This window comes from Homo sapiens, chromosome X, assembly GCF_000001405.40.
Source record: "Homo sapiens chromosome X, GRCh38.p14 Primary Assembly".
NCBI lineage: Eukaryota > Metazoa > Chordata > Mammalia > Primates > Hominidae > Homo > Homo sapiens.
The window spans coordinates 84,226,639-84,248,889 of NC_000023.11; positions in this window are offsets into that span (position 1 = coordinate 84,226,639).

The window sequence follows — 22,251 nt, forward strand, 5'->3', positions numbered from 1 at the left end:
TTTGCAGTCATTAGTTATTAATATGTAGTACTTTATCAGATATACTCACAAATATGACCACTAGTTGAGAGAACTTCATTCTATGTTGGAAAGTGCCCCTAGGGCAAGATTACAGCTGGAAATGATATTAAAATGAAAAAGAGAAGGAAAACTTTGCTTACTTCATTTGTCATTTTGCCAAAAGTTGGTCCTGCTTATAGATATGGACAACAGATAAAGCAAAATTCTTGTAAATGCAGAATAATAGTAGAATTAAGGACATGGTGTATGAGTTAACATTGTAATCAAAAAAAAAGAACACTTACTCCATAGAAGATAATGTAGAAATGGTACTTGGTGAAAAGATAGAGATTTGAGTGGAGAGGAGAAATATTTGAAGTGTCTCATTTATACAAACATCTACTTCTCAATGTCAATGTAAGCACTACTTAGAGGAAACATGACGAAGATGAGGTTGGAGTTTGGGGCTTAACCCTTTTCCCGTTTACCCCGAGAATATGCGCTGGCAGCGCTTGAGGCTGGATCGTTTACCCTGAGATAACTTTGTCACAAAATACCTCACTTTTATTGTTGTTTTCGCATCACTCTAGTATATGGACTTTGGAAACAAAGGACATCATTCTATTTATAGCATTCCGTTTTTAGTGGTGATATTTCCATTTACAAAATATAGTAATTCACCGTCACTGAAAATGTCAAATCCTAGAAAATGTAGCATTCCTAACACATGATGTTAACATCTTTCTCAAATATTTGTTGGCCAAATATTCATTTAATTAATCTGATTCTTCTGAAATGGATGATTCTGATGATTCAGACAATGCTGATATTAGTTCTGTTTAGAAATAACTCCAAGAAAAGGTTTTATATTTTATTTTCACATTGAAAATTAGTCAGATTTGCTTCAGCCTCAAAGAGGGTGTTTATGTAAAATTAAATGAGCACTGGCACTGAGCTGCACTTGCTTTTTATAAACAGGAAAAGGATACTAGAAATTGTTTGGAAATGTGATAGAGGTTTACAAAGAATCTCAACTTCCTTTGGTGACCCTTGACTGCCTATATATAGGAATGGAGAAAACATACAAGAAAGATCAGACTACTCATGACAAAGTATAATATGTTTCACCTGAAAGCTGTAATTGAACCAATGGCTTTCACATGAAGGCAGAAAAGAGCTAATATTGAGAATTTAATTGCCCCCAAATTGTCACTCTTGAAGTAAACCTTTTAAAGAAAGTATGCTTATAATCTGTGTGAGGATGTTAAGAAAATGATTAGTTCAACACCACTAAAACAAAGAGCAGGATATGATGAATTCATTCCTTGATTACACTATAACAACCTAATAGCAAAATCAGCCTTGAAAACTGAGTTTCACTTTTCTGAATTATATCGACTTAGCCAAAATTTTAAATGTAAAACAACATCAAATTATCTTAAGGCTAAAAACAGATAGATTGCTAAGTGACACTGAAGGATTTGGTGAGTTAGAATAGTGATAGTCATTAAAAATTACACTAAGACCAAATTATTTTGACATTCATGAAAAATATCATATACCTTTTAGAAAAACTAAAGGATTCCATTTTACTTTCAAAAAGTAAAATAATTGAGGCTCATATTTAACTTAAATATACATGTGAAAATTTCTAAATTATATTTGGCCAAAATAAGGGTAATGGTCCTAGTATTCATCATCAAATTAAGAGAGAATGACACATGAGAAACACAGGGTTGATTTAAAACAAGAGGCAAGACCTCACCATATTTGGTTCGCCAGCAATTAGCTTTCAAACAAAGCTGATAAAAGAATTCTATGACTGTGTCTGATCATCACTATATGATTCACTGAGAAGAAACTATAACAACAAACCAATAAAATTTGGTCAAGGGAAAAAGGATTTTGCCATTAAGCACAATCTCTAACACAGTGAAATAATCAGATGTAGCTATGTCACTTAGTATCTAAACTTTATATAGTACTTTCACAGTCTGCAAAGCACTTTCACAAACATCATCTCTGTTCATTGGTTTAAGATTGGTTTCCCACAGATTAAGCAATGTACACAAGGTCACAGCAACAGAGCTAGAACATAAAACCTGACCTTCAGATTCCAAGTTCCTCTCACTCTGCTATTTTATAGGTGTCTCTTAATAGATACATTTTAAAAAACTTTTATAAAACAAATAATTAAGTATTTAGCTTTGGCAAAAGGATGGATACATTTCTAGACCTCACCTTGGTAACTAGATTCACAAATCCTGGTAACAAATCATTGTTGTTACTGACAATCTAAAATGTGGCAATTATAGATAAGTTTTCATCTTATTAGGGTATTTCTAGTCCAAAAACAAATCACTGTAATAATACTGGGCAACTGATTTTATGTTATGAAAAACTTACACCAGATTAATCTGAGGGTTTTTGATTATGTGTCGATCACCATAACGACAATAACATAAATCAAAGAACACCAATTTTCCCATTCTAGTTAAACAGAGAGCAATACTGCACCCTCTTATGAGATAGCTTCTTCTTGGGTACTTCTATTTGGATCCAGGTAAAGGTAAATTCTTCCATTTTCATCACTGATAATTCAAGAGGAGTAGGGGCTCCAATAACAAGTCTGCCCTTTACTAATTTGTGACCGTAGATGAGTGACTTCATATCTGTAAGCTTTACTTCTCTCAGTTGTGAAATGGGGATTGTAGTGGGGATGAATGGCTATAGGTTATATGAAAACACCTTGCATGTATAAAATTAATTCTTTTACTAGTGTGTGGATCAGAAAAGAGACACCATCTTGACTTTAAACAAGAGATAAGAGAGGGTAGAACTAAGACATTTCCTCTCATTGTGAGCATAGCAGAATTGAATATAGTTGGTCTTAAAATAACATGAAGTATTGGTCCTCTTATACTTGGGCCTCTGCTGCTAAGAACCCATGCAGAAACCATGAGGCAGCGAGTAGGAAAATGTATCAATCAGAACAAATTTATGTACTTGCCTTTCATTAGGTTTTTTTGTTCTGTTTTGTTTTGTTTAATGTTTTCCAAAACCAGCCACACAAGCTAGATCTGTTCTTATAATATTTTGAGGCCCAAAATTTGGAATAAATTAGCTTCACTCACTAGTTGTTCAAGGTTTTTTTTTTTTACTATTATATGAATCTTTCTAATTCCTTCTCTATATACACAGGAAAATGTCTAAAAAGCAACAAATTCCTATTTCCAACATGTGTAGAAGTTTCATAAAATCTCAGTAATGAAACCAAGATCCCATCTTACTACTATGAAGTTATTTGTACTCTTCAAGGCCTAAAACTTCTTAACAAACACGACACTTGTAGAAATTTGCTCATCAATGAGAACACATGGACACAGGGAGGGGAACATCACACACCGGGGCCTGTCGGGGGTGGGGGGCTGTGCGAAAGATAGCATTAGGAGAAATACGTAATGTAAATGACGAGTTGATGGGTGCAGCAAACTAACATGGCACATGTATAACTATGTAACAAACCTGTACATTGTGCACATGTACCCCAGAACTTAAAATATATAAAAAAAAGAAATTTGTTCATACATCTTTGTAAAAAAGCTAAGCTAATTCTATGTTCAAGTACATTTGCCCGAGTTAAAGTTCAGGCAACCTGTTAAAATAAAAAACTTCAATAGAAAGTATGGAATGATAATAACTATACAGACCATCACAACTCCAGAGAATACCTTACTCAACTGGCAATACAAAGCAGTAGAACAAAGGCAAATCTTAATTCCCACAAATTAGAAGCCCGTGAAAGAAGTGCCTTTGGGATTTTATCAGCTTGAAATGACCAAAGGAACATATCCTTTTCAACAGTTAAGTATTGCTTGGAAATTTGCTACGGTAACTGCTCTGAGATGATTCACAAGTAACCTATATTAAGTAGACCACACAGTATGTTATAATTTCTGCACATATTAAGTGACCATCAAGGGAAAATGAATGTAGATAGAATACATCATCTAATCACATGGGTGGGCACACTCATGGATTATACCCAAGTTCACTAACGATTTTTAAGATATCTGATTGATGTGGCAGCTTAGAAAGCAATTGTATCCTTGTAGCTTCAAGTTGCAGAAATCAATTTTGCACTGATTTAACAGATCGCTTTGGCATGAGAAAAACAGAGCAATCAATGGTGATATCAGCAGCCTTTTTGTCATGCTGACCTAAAGGAGTTGGCTATAATCAGTCTGAAGCAAAAAAAAATAATAATAATAAAATAAAATAAAAAAGCATCCACTGCTGCCAATATATTAGCATTAGGTACTCAGCTCAGGTGTTTTGGTGTTGAAATAATCTGATAAAAACAAAAGGAAGAAGCTTCAGGCCTTGAAACACACAGCTAGAAATAAAGACTGTATATATTAAATATGTTAGTGAATTGGTTCTTAAAATGAAAATGAGAGATTTATAGAATGAACATGGGTTTATATTCTAAATAACATATGAAAATGAACTGGAATTGTTAAGAGAAACTCAAAGGGAAATGTTAGAGCTTGTGGCCAGAGAGGTGGAGGGATAATGTTCAATAAAGAATATTTCTGTAATAGATATTTGGAAGAATTGTGAATGCAAGGGAGGCTCACATGCTCCCTTAAACTACAGGTGGGAAAGAAAATGGGAGAAGGAGAAAATTATTTTTATATTAAGTGCTTGGTAGAATTCACCAAGTGTACTTGTAATATAAATGGGAAAGAATATAAGAATTACTATCTATTCCTTTAATACATTTTTTACATTAAGACCACTTGATATACACTATTTCTGAAAGTCTTTGAACACACTGACAACAAAAGTTCATAGTTATACAGGAATGAACCTGTTATATTTTATTTTCATTATTTTTCTTCCCAAAATGCAGCTTCATCACATTGCTCTGAATTTATAGAGTTTTTCTTCTGAGACTCCTGTCATGTCAGATGTAGAATCATATTTCTACCATCCCTATGAAGTAGCTAGAGGAAAGTGGGGAAGGATAGGAAGGAAGGAAAACCCAATTATTTCTGTATAAACACAGCAAGTTTATATAATTTGTAATAATTCAGCCAGGTAATCATAAGTTAGTAAGAAAGAATAGCCAAGAATTCAACTCTGACTCTCCAGATAAAGACAAAGAATGAGAGCAAATGCTCCCTATGGGCATGTATTAGTAGAGAGAAGTAGCATTTCATCCATAATACACTATTTTCTTTATAAAATGTTTTTTTAGATAAAGTGAGATTTGCAGAGTAGCTAACAACAATAAGTATTTGAGGATGAATTTAGAAAACATTGCTTTTTGTCGACTGCTAGTCTAACCTTTCTTGATTGTATAAATTGAGAAGGGTTATGTGAGTTTCAAACCCCAAGGCCATAACCCTCTCAGTTCTAGACAGAAAATCAAATCCCAATATAATTTCATCCATTTAGACACATTTGCATGCCTACCATATGCAAGGCACCATGGACGAAGAGATAAAAGAAACTGCCCATGCCTGCTTGTTTTTAAGTAGCCCATACTATAATAGAAGGGATATCACATAATGGATAGGTTAAACTGGGTCAAGAGACAGGAGGCAGTTAGAAGGCTGTTACAATATTGCAGTAACCCATGTTTAAAAAAAAACTAATTAAAACATGAACTAGTGTGGTGGCAATAGAATTTGAAAGGAAGAGGCACATATAAAAGATGTTTCAGAAATAGACTTGGCAACTAATTTTATGTGATATATGAGAGAGGAGGAGGAAAAGATGACTCCCAAGTTCCTAGTTTGGGTGACTAAGAGAATGATCAAATCATTGATAGAAATAGCTAGGTCAAGGGGAGGAACAGATTCATAGGGGAAACAAAGGCATTTGATTTTAAGCATGATGAATTTCTAACAAAAGTTCTCTAATCTTGTTTCTATCATCCTCAAACCAGTGATCTCTATATTTTGTGTACCCCATCAATACATGTTGGGTATGCACCCTCCAAATTTGTAGGTCAATTATATTAATGTATCTATCTATCTATCTGCAAAATTAGAAAATGTAAAAAACAAGTTAAAACTAACAACAGTTTTATACTGTTTTTATATCCACACTCCAATAGCTTGTTTTGCATAGTTCATTTGGATCACTAAACAATTTAGCTATACCTTGGCTTTTCAACTTGCAACACAGAAAAACAATATTGATTTGCCTAACCCAATTTAGTGACAAGAAATTCAGATTATAGGAAAAAGCATAGTTGCATTTCTAAGGTAAAATATATATATATATGTCCATCATTAATAATGCTCGATCTTTCAAGCTATCGCATCAATTCAAAAGTCAGGGTGATTTCTATAAACTTGATTGGGTTCACATGGACATCTTTTACTAATAAAACCTTACAAAATAGCAAGCTAAGACTCCCCACAAAAGACAGGCTCCAAAATAGAACAGCAGGAAAGTGAGTCCCTGTTGAGCAATTTCTCTTGGCTTTTATATTTTGTGAAGGAAGCATTTGAGAGTGAGGCATATTCCCTTTTAACCTTCACAACAACTTCATGAGGTATTAACCATCTGAAAAAAAACATGCAAAAACCTAGAAACCAAGGCTCAAAAGAATTAAATTATTTGCCCAAGGTCACTCAGCTAGTATGTGCTAGAACTCAGATTTGAGCCCAGGTCTTGACCTAGAGTTATATTCTTTTAGCTAGACCACAGCTGCCTTAAATCCTTTTGACTCCTTTTGTTTTTTAAGACTCTTTCAGTTATTCTGTCAATGCACATTCTTTAAATTTCTGCCTGGTCTCTAACCCAAACTTCAGAAAAGAACGAAACAAGATGATTCTAAAGGGATAGGAAAAAAGACAGACTAATATAATTATTGTTCATCTCATTTTCTTTCCTAACAGACTAAGGTTATATTCTCTCAATTTTCCAGCTTTTATTTCTGTCTATCATACTGACTTCTGGGTCAGTTCTGTGTTAAAAATGGCTGCTTCTGAAACATGAGCTCTGTCTGTTGGAATTTGAGTTCCACTTCTGCGTATGGTCATGAAAGTACAACTACTCTGAAGTCTGAGGACATGTAATTACTCCTGGTTAAATTCAAATAGCTTAAACTGGCAACACAGAGACTATTTCATCTTCAATACACTAGCATGGGTTCACAGACAACAAGTCAGGCCAAACTAACTTCATTTCCTTTTTTAATAGCATGAATAGCCTGAAAGATCAGATGAATGCCTCATCACTAGTATATCTGAATTGAACAAAATGTAATCTCCTTGTTGGTAGGATAGACAAAATGTGGCTTCAGGGAATAGGAGAATTTATAGTTAGGTGACTAACCATTCTCACCAAATATATTAATTAATTCTGTATTGACAACGGTGGAAAATTATAAGCCTCTCCTATTTTATTCACATTGTTATTAGAGTCTCAAATAAAAATAGAAAAATAATCATTTTTAAATTGGCAGATGACAAAACTGCAGGGGAGAGAAACTTTGTCTGATGCCAATCTGAAAAGATGGGTAAAATCTAGCCACATGAATTCTAAGAAGCAATTAATACAAAATGTCTGAATTTAGTTTAAAAAATTAACTATAGAAAGATACCTTTCTTAGCAACAGTATGTATAAAGATATCACTGGAGCTTTTTTGTTGAACATGAGCACAGAGCGCCAGTAGTGAAAGGTAGCTGCTGAAAAGCAAAACCCAAAAATAGAAAACACCACCACCAAAAAGCAAAGCCAATGAAATTTTAAAACCAGGATAATGCCATTTAAAACACTACAGTGTCTGGATCAAATTGTTATACATTTTTCTTAATGAAACATACCATATTCAGTGTGCAAATATCTGGAAGTATGGGCACATTTGAAGAAGGACATTGACAAACTGATATGTGAAGGAAGGCAGAAAACCATCCTTTTGCAAGAGACTGTTGGGTTATATAGGACCCAGTAGCAACATTCAAAATTTTAAGGTCTGTGAAATGAAGATTGGGTTCATTCTCATTTTGATAAGGCATGTATTTAAATCATCAATTAATAGCAGTGTTTTCATTAACTAAACTATGAAGCACATGATGGATAAAGTAATATAATCAGTTTCCCTGGAGTGTAAGTCACTACCAGACTATACGTGATACACTTTTTAGGAAATTTCACTTAATCTTTCAGGTACTATGATAATATGCTCTCATTTAGTTTTACACAATAGTGACCTATCTCAGGAGCTAGAGAAAGTCCAAGTTAGGGCAACTGCCAAATTGCTTTCTACAGTCAGGCAGTTGCTTGATTCTGGAGAGAATCTGAGCTATTCCTGCAGTTGTGGGTAAATTGAAGGGCCACATTAAAACTGTAAAAGGGAAGAGTGGGTAGACACTCTGTTCAGGTATGTCTGTTCTCAGTAAGTTGCCTAAAGGCTGGGTAATCTCTAGTAGGTTGAAGACCTGAGAGAAATCACACTGTGTTCTCTCTCTCTCAACATTTGGTTTATAGGGAATAACGTGGAAAGTCTGAGAGTAGAAGAATCACTTAGAGGTCAGCTTGATGGTACATGTATGAAATAGAGAAAAGACAAGGCCACCTCTGGCTGTTTTGCTTTGGAACAGAGGATAGGCCTGGCTGCAGAAGAAGAATGGGATGTTTATGTGTTTGCATATATACATATGTGTGTGTTTGGATATATATATATATATATATATTTTCTAGGAACAGCTCTGTCTATTGACTTGGAGAGAGAAAGTGCCCATTTTACAGCTCACTTTAACAACCAGAGCAGAGCTTAAAGATAATTATTTGAAGAGAGATTATTGGCTCAATCTGAGTCTCTGAGTTTCTGAGTGCCAAACCTGGTGTCCCCTAGAAATTGCAGCCATGCTTCAAATGACTGGCTGTGATCAGAAACCAGCCTAGTGGCCCTCACAAGGGTGTGAGACTTCTGTTCACTGCCAAAACTCTGCAAGAAGAAAACTGTGTGAGTTTAGCAAGGTTATCAGTTCGAACAGCAGAAATGGGCATTTTCTTATTTGAGAAACCAATAACTAGCAGCTATCTGTTAGGAAAGAAAGGATAGATTTGTTGCTAAAGAAAGCAAAGTTGAATTCTGGAAAGCTAATCAAGTGTACTGAGACAAAGTAGCCCAAGTCCCCAGGAATAACCAGTGACAAATTAGTTTTTCATTCTGCTGCTTTCATGCCTGTTTTAAGAATATTCTTGAAAAACTGCTCACCACAGAGAAGCTGGCCCTTCATCTTCATCCAGAGGCAGTCAGCCTGCTGCAGTGGGAGGGCACAGGACCAGAAATCAGGAGCCCTGCTTTTTAGTTACACCTCTGCCACCGACTTATTTTGTGACGTTGCATAAATTCCTTTACCTCAAACACCACATCTAACTACCTCACAAATACGCTGCAAGAACTCAGTGAAATAATGAATGTAAAAGCACTTTGCAAAGCATGGAGCACTGTAGAAGTATAAGGGATTATTATCCAAGTAGGTTTCATGCCAACCTTTCTGGTATCACCCTCAAGACTTCTTCAGCTTTGGCACAAAGTTCTCAATTCTCTGCTTGCTCCCTCCAAGTCCTACCTGGCTTGGGAACAGAAGTTTTCACCCTCCCTTCTTTTGTCAGCTTTCTCCGTAATGGGGCCTGCTGAATGTAATTATTGTTTATCAGTTCTAATTTCCCCTAGAGAAACCATCTTCCTCAGGAAAAGACTCCACCTTTCTATAAACACCAAGTCTTCAGGCACAACATACTCATGTGGCAGGTGTGATGCATGGGGGAAAGGAAAAGGAAGCAATATACAGCTCCAGGAAAGAAAGCTGTGATTTCAGTGAGACTTTCTTGATGAGCTTTCAGTGCCCAGAATACACACACACACACACACTCACTCACCCACATTCTCTTGATGAAAGACTCAGGCCAGTCTATATACCACAGCAATCAGAAGTCTTACCTGATACCTGCTATTTGCTCCTGAGCCTATGGTGGCCACTCTCTCTTCTCTCTACACCTGTGAAGGTTTTAATTCAGTGCTGTCCATTTATACCCTTCTAAGAGTGGCAGGACTCCAGGAATCTCTGTCCTCACCAATCATAAGTCAGAACTCCCAAATTCCTGGCCATTTCTGATTTAACCCTGTCTAACATGTCAGCTTTCTAGCTGAGGGAAGGACTTAGCCTCAAAAATCAAGAAGCTGCTGGCTTGTGCCTACTGTCCAGACCCTGGACCTGCCTTCCCCAATTCCAATAGACAACTCTGTGTGTCAGTAAGGCAGAAAGAATACTCTGGAGAGTAAGTCTTACAGGCAACATGAGGAGAATGGAGAAGAAGAAATCAAGTCCTACAGAATGAGAAGCTCAAGTGTATAATGGATCCAAAGGGAAAAACTAAGGTCAAAGACCCAGGTGTCACAGTAAAACAGAGGGAACAGGATATGGACAGAGTTAAAATAAGCAGTGAGTTTAATTCAGGCTTGGCACAAGAGTACATACCGAAGCAGGGTCCTAACATGCAAGCAGAATTTGTTAACTTGACATCCTAACTGGCGTGGACAAAAGTGGCGTCTATAGATAAGACATGGGGAAAACTGAGGGTAAAAACTGAGCCTAAGAATAGTACCCTAAGTTCTGATACACCCAGATGAGCCTCCACAGTAGGAATATTTCATATGTCTGAAATTCTTAGACCAGGAGTTCCAATTTTCATCACCTCACCTGGTATGGAAAAACAAGAACCTTACAGAAGAGAGTAAGACTATACAGGGATCAAAACTGAAGTTAAAGCAATGTACAGGACTCTGGGATACTTTTCTGGATCTAACTAAATCTTTGGGCAAATGCTCTATCAGAATAGAATATAGGGTTTGCCTTTCTGATTTGAAGATTGGGATATCTCATTTCATATTCTGTCTTGGAGACATGGCTGTTAGGCAAAATAGTTCTCTCTTTGTCCCTTCATGCTCCTACTGCTTCTTGTTCATTTACCTTATTACTTACTCCAAGTTCAGGCTTATTTGTCCCAGAATATAACTCAGGACTTGGATTAGTATACCACAAAAGAGGTCTGCTGTTGTTAGTCTACTCCCCACCACATGTAATTGGCCAAAGGGGACAAGAATTGCAGGATAAAAAGGCATTAACTCTTGGCAGAACTTCCCATACTAAGCCAGTCCCTACTAGAGGTGTCTTGGGACTACATCCCATGTAGAACATAATTGTCATTCATAAAAACCACAATAAGCATCCCCGGTTGTCCATAGAAACAGGAACAGAAAGACATTTCACAGAGTAGGACCCAGGTGGTAGCAAGATACTGTGCCAAAGGCAAAAGGTATGAAATGGTGACCAGATGTTGCAATAGATTGTGTAAAGAGGATCACAGGAAAACAATTAAATCTTTTCTCAAGTAGCTCCATTTAAAATAATACCCACACACCACACAACTTAAATGCCCATCAACCAATGAGTGGATAAAGAAAATGTGGTATATATACAACATGGAATACTACTCAGCCATAGAATGCAATGAAATAATGGCATTTGCAGCAACTTGCATAGACTTGGAGACCATTATTCTAAGTGAAGTAACTCAGGAATGGAAAACCAAATATCATATGTTCTCAATTACGAGTGGGAGCCAAACTATGAGGATGCAAAGGCATAAGAATATATAATGGAATCTGGGGACTCAGGGGAAGGATGGGAGGGGGATAAGGGATAAAAGACTACATATTGGGTACAGTATACACTGCTCAGGTGATAGGTGCACCAAAATCTCAGAAGTCATCACTGAAGAACTTATCCATATAACCAAAAGCCCCCTGTTCCCCAAAAGCTGTTGAAATAAATTTAATAATAATAATACCCACATGAAGTTTTCCTTGTAGTAACTGGCACAGTGCCTACCTAGCACAGAGCCTGGCACATGGTAGGCAGTCAATAAATGGTGGTTGATTGAATGAATCACAAATTACACACTAAAACAGCCAGGCAAAACTTTTCAAGCTCTAATTATAGCTGTTAAAAGGATGTAAGTTGTAGTAACATTCCCTGTATATTGAATTAACTACTTCAGTAAATCAATTTTCTTAGCTCAAGTTTTATTTTTCCTGTCAGGATTTTAAGGCCTCAGCTTTGTACAACTATTTCCTTAGGTGTAATGGGGGAAATTATCTAAGGCCCACTAAGATTAGAGGGAGGTAGAGGAAATTGGAAGGCAACCAATGAAAGGTAGGAAGGAATCCAAGCGTGTTAGATTGGGAGAGAACTATCCCTCACCTCATTAATGTGACTGTAAAATTTGATCTTGCAAAAAGCAATAGCTAAAAAAATTAAAAATGAACATACTCATGTATTTATCCAGTCAACAATTATTTCTCTAAACCCCCTTGATTTGATTCAGCTTAAATTATAGAAAAATATAATATGGGCAGAAAAATTTTCAGTTTCCAGTCTACAGCATTCTAATTCTTTAATATGCCCTGCTAGATGAAGTAAAAGATTGCTGGGCAAAGGTACAGGCCTAAGTTAAGGCATAGCCTGGTTCTGGAGGCAAGCAGGGTCCAGAGATTTAGAGGCCTGAAGGTTGTCAAGAGGATCACAGATGTACAAGTCTAATTAGTTTTAATATGAGGGCAGCAGCTCTTTGTTTCTGCTTGATTTTAACCTACTGTCTGGGTGTGGTTGTACAGGTGTGGATCACAGTTAAAAGAAATTAAAAAGCTTATATGCACATTCTGCCATTTTCAGAGAGCCAGGGAGAGAGATGGTAGACTCACTCCTCTCTATTTTCATCTGGTCCCTGCTCTAAGTGTAAAATAATAGTCATTTAAAAGTCTCCTGCATGTTAGTATCAACTTTTGGGGTCTATCTTTTTGCTGAACCCATTCTTTTTATTTTCCCAAGTTTGCTGCTTTTTCCATGCCCCAGTTCCTCTTCCACTGGCTGTTTTACTGTGTTTCTCCCCTCTCTGCCCACCCTACCCCCACCCAATTTATTGCCCTTTTTTTGGCTCCCTGAAATGTGTCGGACTTGCAGAGGTATGGACAATTTCTTTAAAGCCATTTTAAACCTGGATCTTTCAGTGTCCTTGGCTCATAGCTCATTTGTAATCACATAAATACCAATTTGACAGGAAAAACTAAGCAGAAAGAAAATCAAATCCAAATGTCGAGAAAAATTTTCCTGCTCATCTTATATTTTTCTAGTTTCTTAATGGTGTTTTTCTTTATTCTAATTGTGGACTATGGAGACGTGAAGGACATTTCTTCTTCTGCATTTTATGTACTGTGTGGCAAGATAGGTCTATTCAGAATGTTCTAAATAACAATATCAAACATAAAATACTATAATTCATTTGTGTTGTGGAGGGCTTATATATTTCTTAAATAAGCACTTCATGAAGAAGCAGTCTAGTGCAGAAGAAAGATTACTGAACTAGGAGTTGAGAAATACATTTGAGTCCCAAATATTTCATATAATTCTGATGTAACTTTAGACAAGTTACTCTCCTTTCCCAGTAAAACAACAACAACAATAGTAAATGTGTATTATACATTTACTATGAACCAAGCAATTGAGGAGTACTTTATATCACATATAACCCTTAAAACATCCCTACATGGTAGAAACTATTATAATCAACACTTTATAGATTAGGTGACTGCAGCTCAGAAGGGGTAAAAAAAAAATGCCCAATATTGTACATAGCCAAAAGGGGCTATACAGGCTTCAGAACTGAAGTCCAAGCAGTTAGTAAGAGTCAAGACTGGTACTCAACCTCAGGTCTGTCTGACTCCAGAGATCACACTTTTAACCAATATGAAGTGCTGTTGCTTTACCACATTCTATTGATCCTTAGTTCCCACATCTATAAAAATGAAGATGTTCTATTGATCTCCAAAGTACCTTTTAGCTCTAACAGATTGAGTCTAGTGTCAAAGGAATATTGAGATCTCCAGTAGTAGCTGAAATGGCAAATAAGAGCCAAAAACCAGGCATCAATTGTTCCCCTCACATCACATGGAAAGAGATCTATCATGCCATTGCTTTTTCTTAATGATATTGGGAAGAAGCAGGAGTGTGTAGCATCAATAAGGTTTTGAGTTACTAAGTCAATGGGAGAGAAAAGCGTAGCATTTCTGTCAGGAAACTAAAGATCTGAGAGAAATCTCCAGCTTCTCGGTTCAGGAATTATTAGGAAAAAATAATTGTTCTCTTTGAAGAGTGGAGAAGACAAGCCCTGCACAAATCGGCAACCAATAACAATATAGAAAAAAACCTCTGAATCTCCTGAGAAGAATTCAACAAGGCTTGACTTTCAAGTAAAGAAAACCTTGGTATATTAATTTCAGTGTCATAAATAATGAATTACCTCCCAGGAGTAACATTCCAGAAGGGAAATTCATTCTTTTGGTTAACATACCAAAAAGACATGGAACACTGGTGAAGCAAGATTTATTTTGTGTAAATATATAATAATCACAATTTATAACATTTACAACTTTATCAGAATATGTGATATTCATACTCTATTATGTAATCATAATCTCCCCAGTTTATTCTTGAGGCTATGATTAAATGGGATAAATATTCACAACCGATAGTTTTTCTACAATGTCTCCATTTTTTTTTTAGTCATTCATCGTTCACAGTTATTTATTTATCATTTATTTTTTTTTAAGACAGAGTCTCACTCTGTCTCCCAGGCTGGAATGCAGTGGCGCAATCTCGACTTACTGCAACTTCTGCCTCCCGGGTTCAAGCGATTCAGATGCCTCAGCCTCCCCAGTAGCTGGGACTATAGGCATATGCCACCATGCTCAGCTAATTTTTAAATATTTTCTTAGTAGAGACAGAGTTTCACCATGTTGCCCAGGCTGTTCTCAAACTCCTGAGCTCAAGTGATTCACCCGCCTAGGCCTCACAAAGTGCTGGGATTACAGGCGTGAGCCACCGCACCAGGCCCACAGTTTTTTAAAAAATTAAACACTTCATTATTCAGTAGTTTTTTTTTTTCTCCCCCAAAGAAGACTCATGGTTGTTATATATTCTGAGTTCTTTAATGCTTTAGAGTATCTGCCTGTTAATTTCATATTTGATCTAAAACTTGGCTAGTATTCTTGGATCACACTGTTTTTTAGAACATTATATTTTTCCATTGTCTTCTGACACCACATGTATCTTAGAAGAAGTTTCACGTGAGCCAGTTATTTTTCCACATGTACATGACTTGCCTTCTTTATCCTTAAAGTTTAAGGATGTAATCAGGATATGACTTAATTTCAATCTCTATCAAATTCACCTGAAACATAAAATATAGTCTTTATATTTGCATATTTAATTCTGTCATTAGTTCAAGGAATTTTCCTGCTGTTATACCTTCTAATAATTCCTTTATTCTATTTGTAGAATAGAGGTTATTCTCTATTAGCATTCTCCTTACTAGATCATCTTTGTTATCCGTCTTTATTATTTTCTCCTGAATCTAATTTGTCTTTATCTTCTGAATTTGCTGTGATTATCTCAGAATTTTTCTCTTTTATTAATTTGATTTTAAGCAATTCTGCTCAATTCCTTGCTATTTCTAGTTTATTCATTTTCAAATAGTGAGGTTTTTGTTGTTGTTGTTGTTCTCAATTTGTTTCCTTAGCTTTGTGCAAGTCACATACCTGTTTTCAGTTCATTTAGGTATATATCCAGGGGTAGAATTGCTGGGTCATATGTCACCAAAAATACCAAATACCACACCTGGAAAAGCTATCCTTCAAAAATGAAGCAGAAATTAAGACAATCCCAGATAAATGAAAGCAAGGGAATTTGTCTCTGGATATCTCCTACAAGAAATGCTAAGGAGAGTCCTTTAGGCTGAAATGAAAGGAAGCTATATGGTAACTCAAAGTCATACAAAAAATTAAAGATCTCTGGTAAAGGTAACTATGCAAGTAAATATAAAAGATAGTATTATTATATTTTGTTTTGTAACTCCTCTTTTTGTTTCTTATATAACATGAGAGACAAATGCATAAAGCAATAATCATAAATCTATGTTAATGGATACGTAAAAGATAAATATTAAATTTGTGTCAATAAAAACATAATGCACATGAGTAATATAAATCTCATAAAAATCAGGAAGTGGTGGAAGAGAGTATAGGAAGTATAAGAGTGCTATTTTCCTCATCTTTCAAGGCAGATAATCAATACATATTATGTAAAATTAAAGCATAAAGCTCAATAATTTCTGAATCCAAAATCTCATTATTTTTAATTCTCTTATATTGGCTGTTCATCAAACATTGTATGCATAGTCCCACCTCCCCAACTGATGGTGTGATTATGAGAGTTACCAATCCACAATCTGAAAAGCAAAGGAAGAATGTGTACTGGAAGACAGAGGTAAGATATGTGGAATTCTGAGTCAAGGTCAGCTATTGATTAGTCAAATTCCATTACTATATAATATTCCTAAAACTTGATACTTCACCAGGCCCTGGAAAGTAGGGACAAAAATAAAAAATCTGACTCATTAGATGTTTAAGTGCACTACAGCAATAAATAAAAGGGTTTTTAGTGGCACTACCTCCTATCAGGGAGGTGATTTGAGAAGATGTTATTGCATGAAAGGGAATACTGCTTTAAAAGAATTGCTGGCAGTAGAATGATTAAGAGGTAGTTACAAGGGAAACTCTAGGGCATGGGTGAAAACCAAAAGGTTGGGGGGTGCGGTAAACGTGAGCAAAGGCTCTAAGTACACAGACAAGGCATATCTTCACAGGGTAAAGTTCTTCCCATAGGGAGCTTCAAGAGCAGTGAACTATGCAACAATTCTGCCACTTTGCTAGCTATATGATTCTAGGCATGTCACTTCCTCTCTAGAGGTCTCAGTTTTCCTCACTCTAAGGATATTCTTCATACTTTTTATATTCCTCAGTCTGATACCCATGGGCCTACTTTTTCAGAGTCAGCTGAATCTAGACAAAGTTTTCCAAGTAGTGACTACTAGACATCCATTTCCAGGCAAAGTCCCTGGCAAGAGTATGATATTGGCAAAGCTTATCTCTGAAACCCTTCTACCTTTCTAGTTTAGTGGGCACTCCTCATCTTGCTGCTTGTTTCAATTCCTCCCTCAATCCTTCAACAGCTAATCTAAAGTCCTTCAAAGGTTAGTTGATAAAAGTTTAAAGGCTGATAGTGGGACAGTGGTCAGAGATTAGGGAAGTATTTATGGAGAAGACAGGATACCATTTGAAGTGGAAACATGGAAACATATGGGGCAAAGGGAATGGTTTAATTCGTTGAACACACAGGGTAGATTTCTGGGAGAACTGGCCTAGAAAGTTTAGAATGGGATGAAATTCTGGGGGCCTTATTCCCCAGGATTGAAGCATTTGGAATTAACTTGATTAGCAATGAAGAGCCTTTGAAGATTTTGTCCAGAGAGTGACATTAACAGTATAAAGCACAGTTCTCTGAAAAGCTCCAGTTAAAATGAAAACTACTTTCCCTGGGATAGTGATGCATTTGTTTGTTAGCATTTATTAACACCTTAGAGAGATACATTATCAAAAAACAAAGTGCCCTAAGGGACTAGGTCACAGGCACAGGACAGAGCAATATTGATTAGGTAGGAAAAGGGAGCAAACAAAGTTTAGAGAACAAGTTGCACCAGAATGTATATTACAAGGGGCTCCTAAACAGATGGAAAGCAGCAGGAGAGCAGCACTCAGTCTGAGGTGAGGACACATAGGTCAATGATAGTTGGGGTGTGAAGCTAGGTCTTGGGCCCAAGTATGGCAATCTGAAGATAGCTTCTGTCTCAGAACCTGTCTTTTCTGTTAGCTGGAAATCACACCATTAGAGATTAATTCTTTAGGATCTGGAAAGTATTTTGTTTTGTTTTGTTTTGTTTTTAAGATATCTTGAGACCTCTAAGAAACTCAAATATCCCTGGGAAACAAACATTTAATGCTATTGGACTCTAGTCTCATTTCTTCTCATAGCCTCCCTTTTTATATCTGTAAAATAAAGGCAAAACCTGTTTTGTTAAACTTAAAAGCTCGGGATAAGAGAGATCATCAGAGGGTCCGATGAGATAATAGGTGTTACAGCACATTATAGATGATAAAATGCTAGACCAGTGTAAATGAGGGTGACTATTTTATAGGTTTTCTTCCCTCCCCCACAGTACCTAGCAGAGAGTTGAGCATTCTGTTGTATACACTTACCAAAATTAGATCAAAATAAATAGGTGTAATTTAATATCTTTTCACAGAGATTATGTTGAGCTGAACATCTGTAACAACAAAACAGACAAAAAACCTTTCTGACGGAAAGGTTGATCATGATCAATCTAACTTAGATTCCAGAAGATATATGGAAGCTTGAGAGAGAGCAATTATTTACATTTACTTGTGTAGTCTCTGGAAGATTTATGGTTAGGCTGTTGAAAATCCAAATTTTGATTCAGATTATCACTATTTCCAATTAAATGCAGTTACAGAGTACTGCTCTATGCTGTTTTACTTTAAAGATGCGAGCCACTACAATTCGTTTATTGAAACAATTTCTTGCATTTATTTTTTTAAAAAAACTACTTTTAATTTTTATAGGTCAGTGTATAAGTTTATGGAGTACATAGGATATTTTGATACAGGCATGCAATGTGAAATAATCACATCATGGAAAAAGGGGTGTCCATCCCCTCAAGCATTTATCCTTTGTGTTAGAAAGAATCCAATTATACACTTTTAGTTAAAGTGTACAATTAAATTATTTTGACTATAGTCACCCTGTTTTTCTATCAAATACAAAGTCTTATTCATTTCTTCTAATTGTTATTTTTGTGTTGATTAACCATCTTCACTTCCACCCCCCCGCCCCCCCACCGCCAGAGTCCCCGCTGTCTATCCCAGCCTCTGGTAATCATCCTTCTACTCTCTATCTCCATGAGTTCAATTGTTTTGATTTTTAGATCCCACAAATAAGTGAGAACATATGATGTTTGTCTTTCTGTGCCTGGGTTATTTCATGTAACACAAGTACCTCCAGTCCCATCCATGTTGCTGCAAAAGATGGCATCTCATTCTTTTTTATGGCTGAATAGTACTCCATTGTGTATAAGTGCCACATTTTCTTTATCCATTCATCTGTTGATGGACACTTAGGTTGCTTCCAAATCTTGGCTACTGTGAATAGTGCTGAAATAAACATAGGAGGGCAGATATTTCTTCAATATACTGATTTCCTTTATTTTGCATATATACCCAGCAATGGGATTGCTGAACATATGATAGCTGAATTTTTAGTTTTTTTGAGGAACTCCCAAACTGTTTTTCACAGTGGTTTTATTACTTAACATTCCCATCAACAGTGTACAAGGGCTCCCTTTTTTTCACATCATCTCCTGTATTTATTACTGCTTATCTTTTGTATATAAGCCATTTTAATTGAGGTGAGAAGGTATCTCATTGTAGTTTCATTTGCATTTCTCTGATGATCAGTGATGTTGAGCACCTTTTCATGTGCCTGTTTGTCATTTGTATGCCTTCTTTTAAGAAATGTCTATTCAAATCTTTTGTCAGTTTTTAATCAGATCAATATTTTCTTTTCTTTTCTTTCCTTTTTTTTTTTTGAGACAGAGTCTCACTCTGTTGCCCAGGCTGGAGTGCAGCGGCATGATCTCGGCTCACTGCAACCTCTGCCTCTCAGGTTCAAGCAATTCTTATGCCTCAGCACCTTGAGTAACTGGGATTACAGGTGTGTATGTGCTGCCATGCCTGGCTAATTTTTTGTGTTTTCAGTAGAGATGTGGTTTCGCTATGTTGGCCAGGCTGGTCTCCAACTCCTGGCTTCAAATGATCTGCCTGCCTCAGCCTTCGAAAGAGCTGGGATTACAGGCATGAGCCACCATAACTGGGTAATAATTTTTTTCCACAGAGTCGTTTGAGCTCCTTTTATATTCTGGTTATTAATTCCTTGTCAGCTGGGTAGTTTGCAAATATATTCTCCCACTCTGTGGATTGTCGCTTCACTTTGTTGATTTCTTCAATAACTCTTGGTATAATCTGTCTGATGCTAAGTTTTCTCATTGGTTAAGATAAGGAGGATGGACTAGATAATATCAAAATTTATTCAGAGGCTAACATTCTAGTATTTTTGCTTCGCAATATGACCTGAGGCCTTGAGTTCCTGGTAAAGTTGAGTTCCGAGTGCACTGGCTGTTAGCAAGCACTCTGATTGGAAATGTGAGACAAGGGAAAAATTTAGATAATGACTTCTTAGCTGTTCTATCTGCTGATAAATGTTCAATAAATCATCCATTGGTTTTGAAGTAGTAAAAGAATTTCATTCTCACAGGATCTAAATGCTTATGTATAGGGTTGAATAACTAAAAGGAAAGTATAAAGAATTTTTGCAGTTTCAACTTTCTTGCAGAGAATGGGATTGGTGAGCAATAATGTCGATCCCTGGGTAAGTAGTCAAAAAAGGGTTCACTAAATTTCAGTCTGATGATGTGTCACCAAGATCCACTAAAATCAAGAAATGCCTTGGCCATTATATGAAAGAGGTATCATAAGACAGATAGCCCCATTTTCAATAAACTTTATATACATATACACATTTAGAACTTAATGTTCATTAAAACCCTCTCAGCCCTTATAGCTACTTAGCTGAAAAAGGAACATGTGTTAGTACCTAAATAGGATGCTCTTCACTAAGTTCGTGAAAAATAAGCAGAAACTTAATAACTTTAAATCTTATGTTTCAACATGGAGGTCAAAGGTCTATTACAGTAGTCCCCTTCTCTATGGTTTTACCTCCCAAGGTTTCAATTACCCAAGGTCAACCATGGCCCAAAAATATTACATGGAAAGTTCCTAAAATAAACAATTCGTAAGTTTTAAATTGTGCACCATTCTGAGTAGCATGGTTAAAATCTCTCACTATCCCACACTGTCCTGCTCCATCCTGCCCTGGATATGAATCATGGCTTTGTCCAGTGGGTCAACGAAAATAGTCAAACTCTGTAAAATATTTGAAAAGATGTATTCTGAGTCAAATATGGGTGATTATGTTCTGTGACATAGCCCTCAGGAGAGAACATGTGCCCAAGGTAGTTGGGGTGCAGCTTGGTTTTATACATTTTGAGAAGCATAAGACATCAATCAAATACATTTAATAAATGCATTGGTTTGGTCCAGAAAGGCAGGACAACTCAAAGGGGTGGGGGGGAAGTGGTGCTTCCAGGCTATAGATAAATTTAAATATTTGCTAAATGACAATTCTGAAGTCTTATAGTGGCTGCCCTTAGAGACAATATATGACAAATGTTTCCCATTCAGATCATTAAAAGGTGCTAGACCCTTCTTGACCCTTAGTTAATCTCTTTAGAATTGGGAGGGCCTGGAAGAAAAAGACCTAGCTATGTTAATAGAGATTCTTTGCAGATGAAAATTTTCCCCCACAAAGGACAGCTTTGCAGGGCCATTTCAAGATATGGCAAATAAACATGTTTTGGGGTAAAACATTTTGACTTTCTTCTTTGTCACATAATGTTATGCCAAAGTCAGATTGGAAAGTAAGTCACTATATATAGGGTTAAATAAAACCTATCTGATGAGAATTTATGGTTTGTAGGGCATGACTCTCCAGACCCCTTAGACAGGAATTTGGGTGAGATAAAAAAAAAAAAAAACAGATCTTAGTCCTCAAGCATAACCACGCTGTATATACTTACTACATTAGTCACTTACATTACATTAGTCACTTCTTAGCCATCTGGGGCAACTGTCTGATAACCAGTTAGTATAGCAGTGCTTGTGTCATAGTAAACCTTATTTTACTTAATAATGGCCTCAAGTGCAAAAGTACTGTGCCTAATTTATAAATTAAATTTTATCATAGGCCTGTATATACAGTATAGGAAATAACATAGTATCTATAAGGTTCTGTACTATCCATGATTTCAGGCGTCCATTGAGAGTCTTGGAACATATCCCCTGAGGAAAAGTGGGGAGACTACTGTATCTACAAAGATGACCTGATGAGTCCTATAGACTTTCAAAATTAGAAAATTGTCAGACATCATTCAGCCCAACCCTCTCATTCTAAAAGTAACAAAGTGAATTGACCAGGGTACCACAGTATGTAGAAGCAAAGCCTAGGTACAAAGCAGGTCTTCAGATTGCCAACAGGGACAGTTGCCATCATGGTAAGAGTGTGGACTTTAGA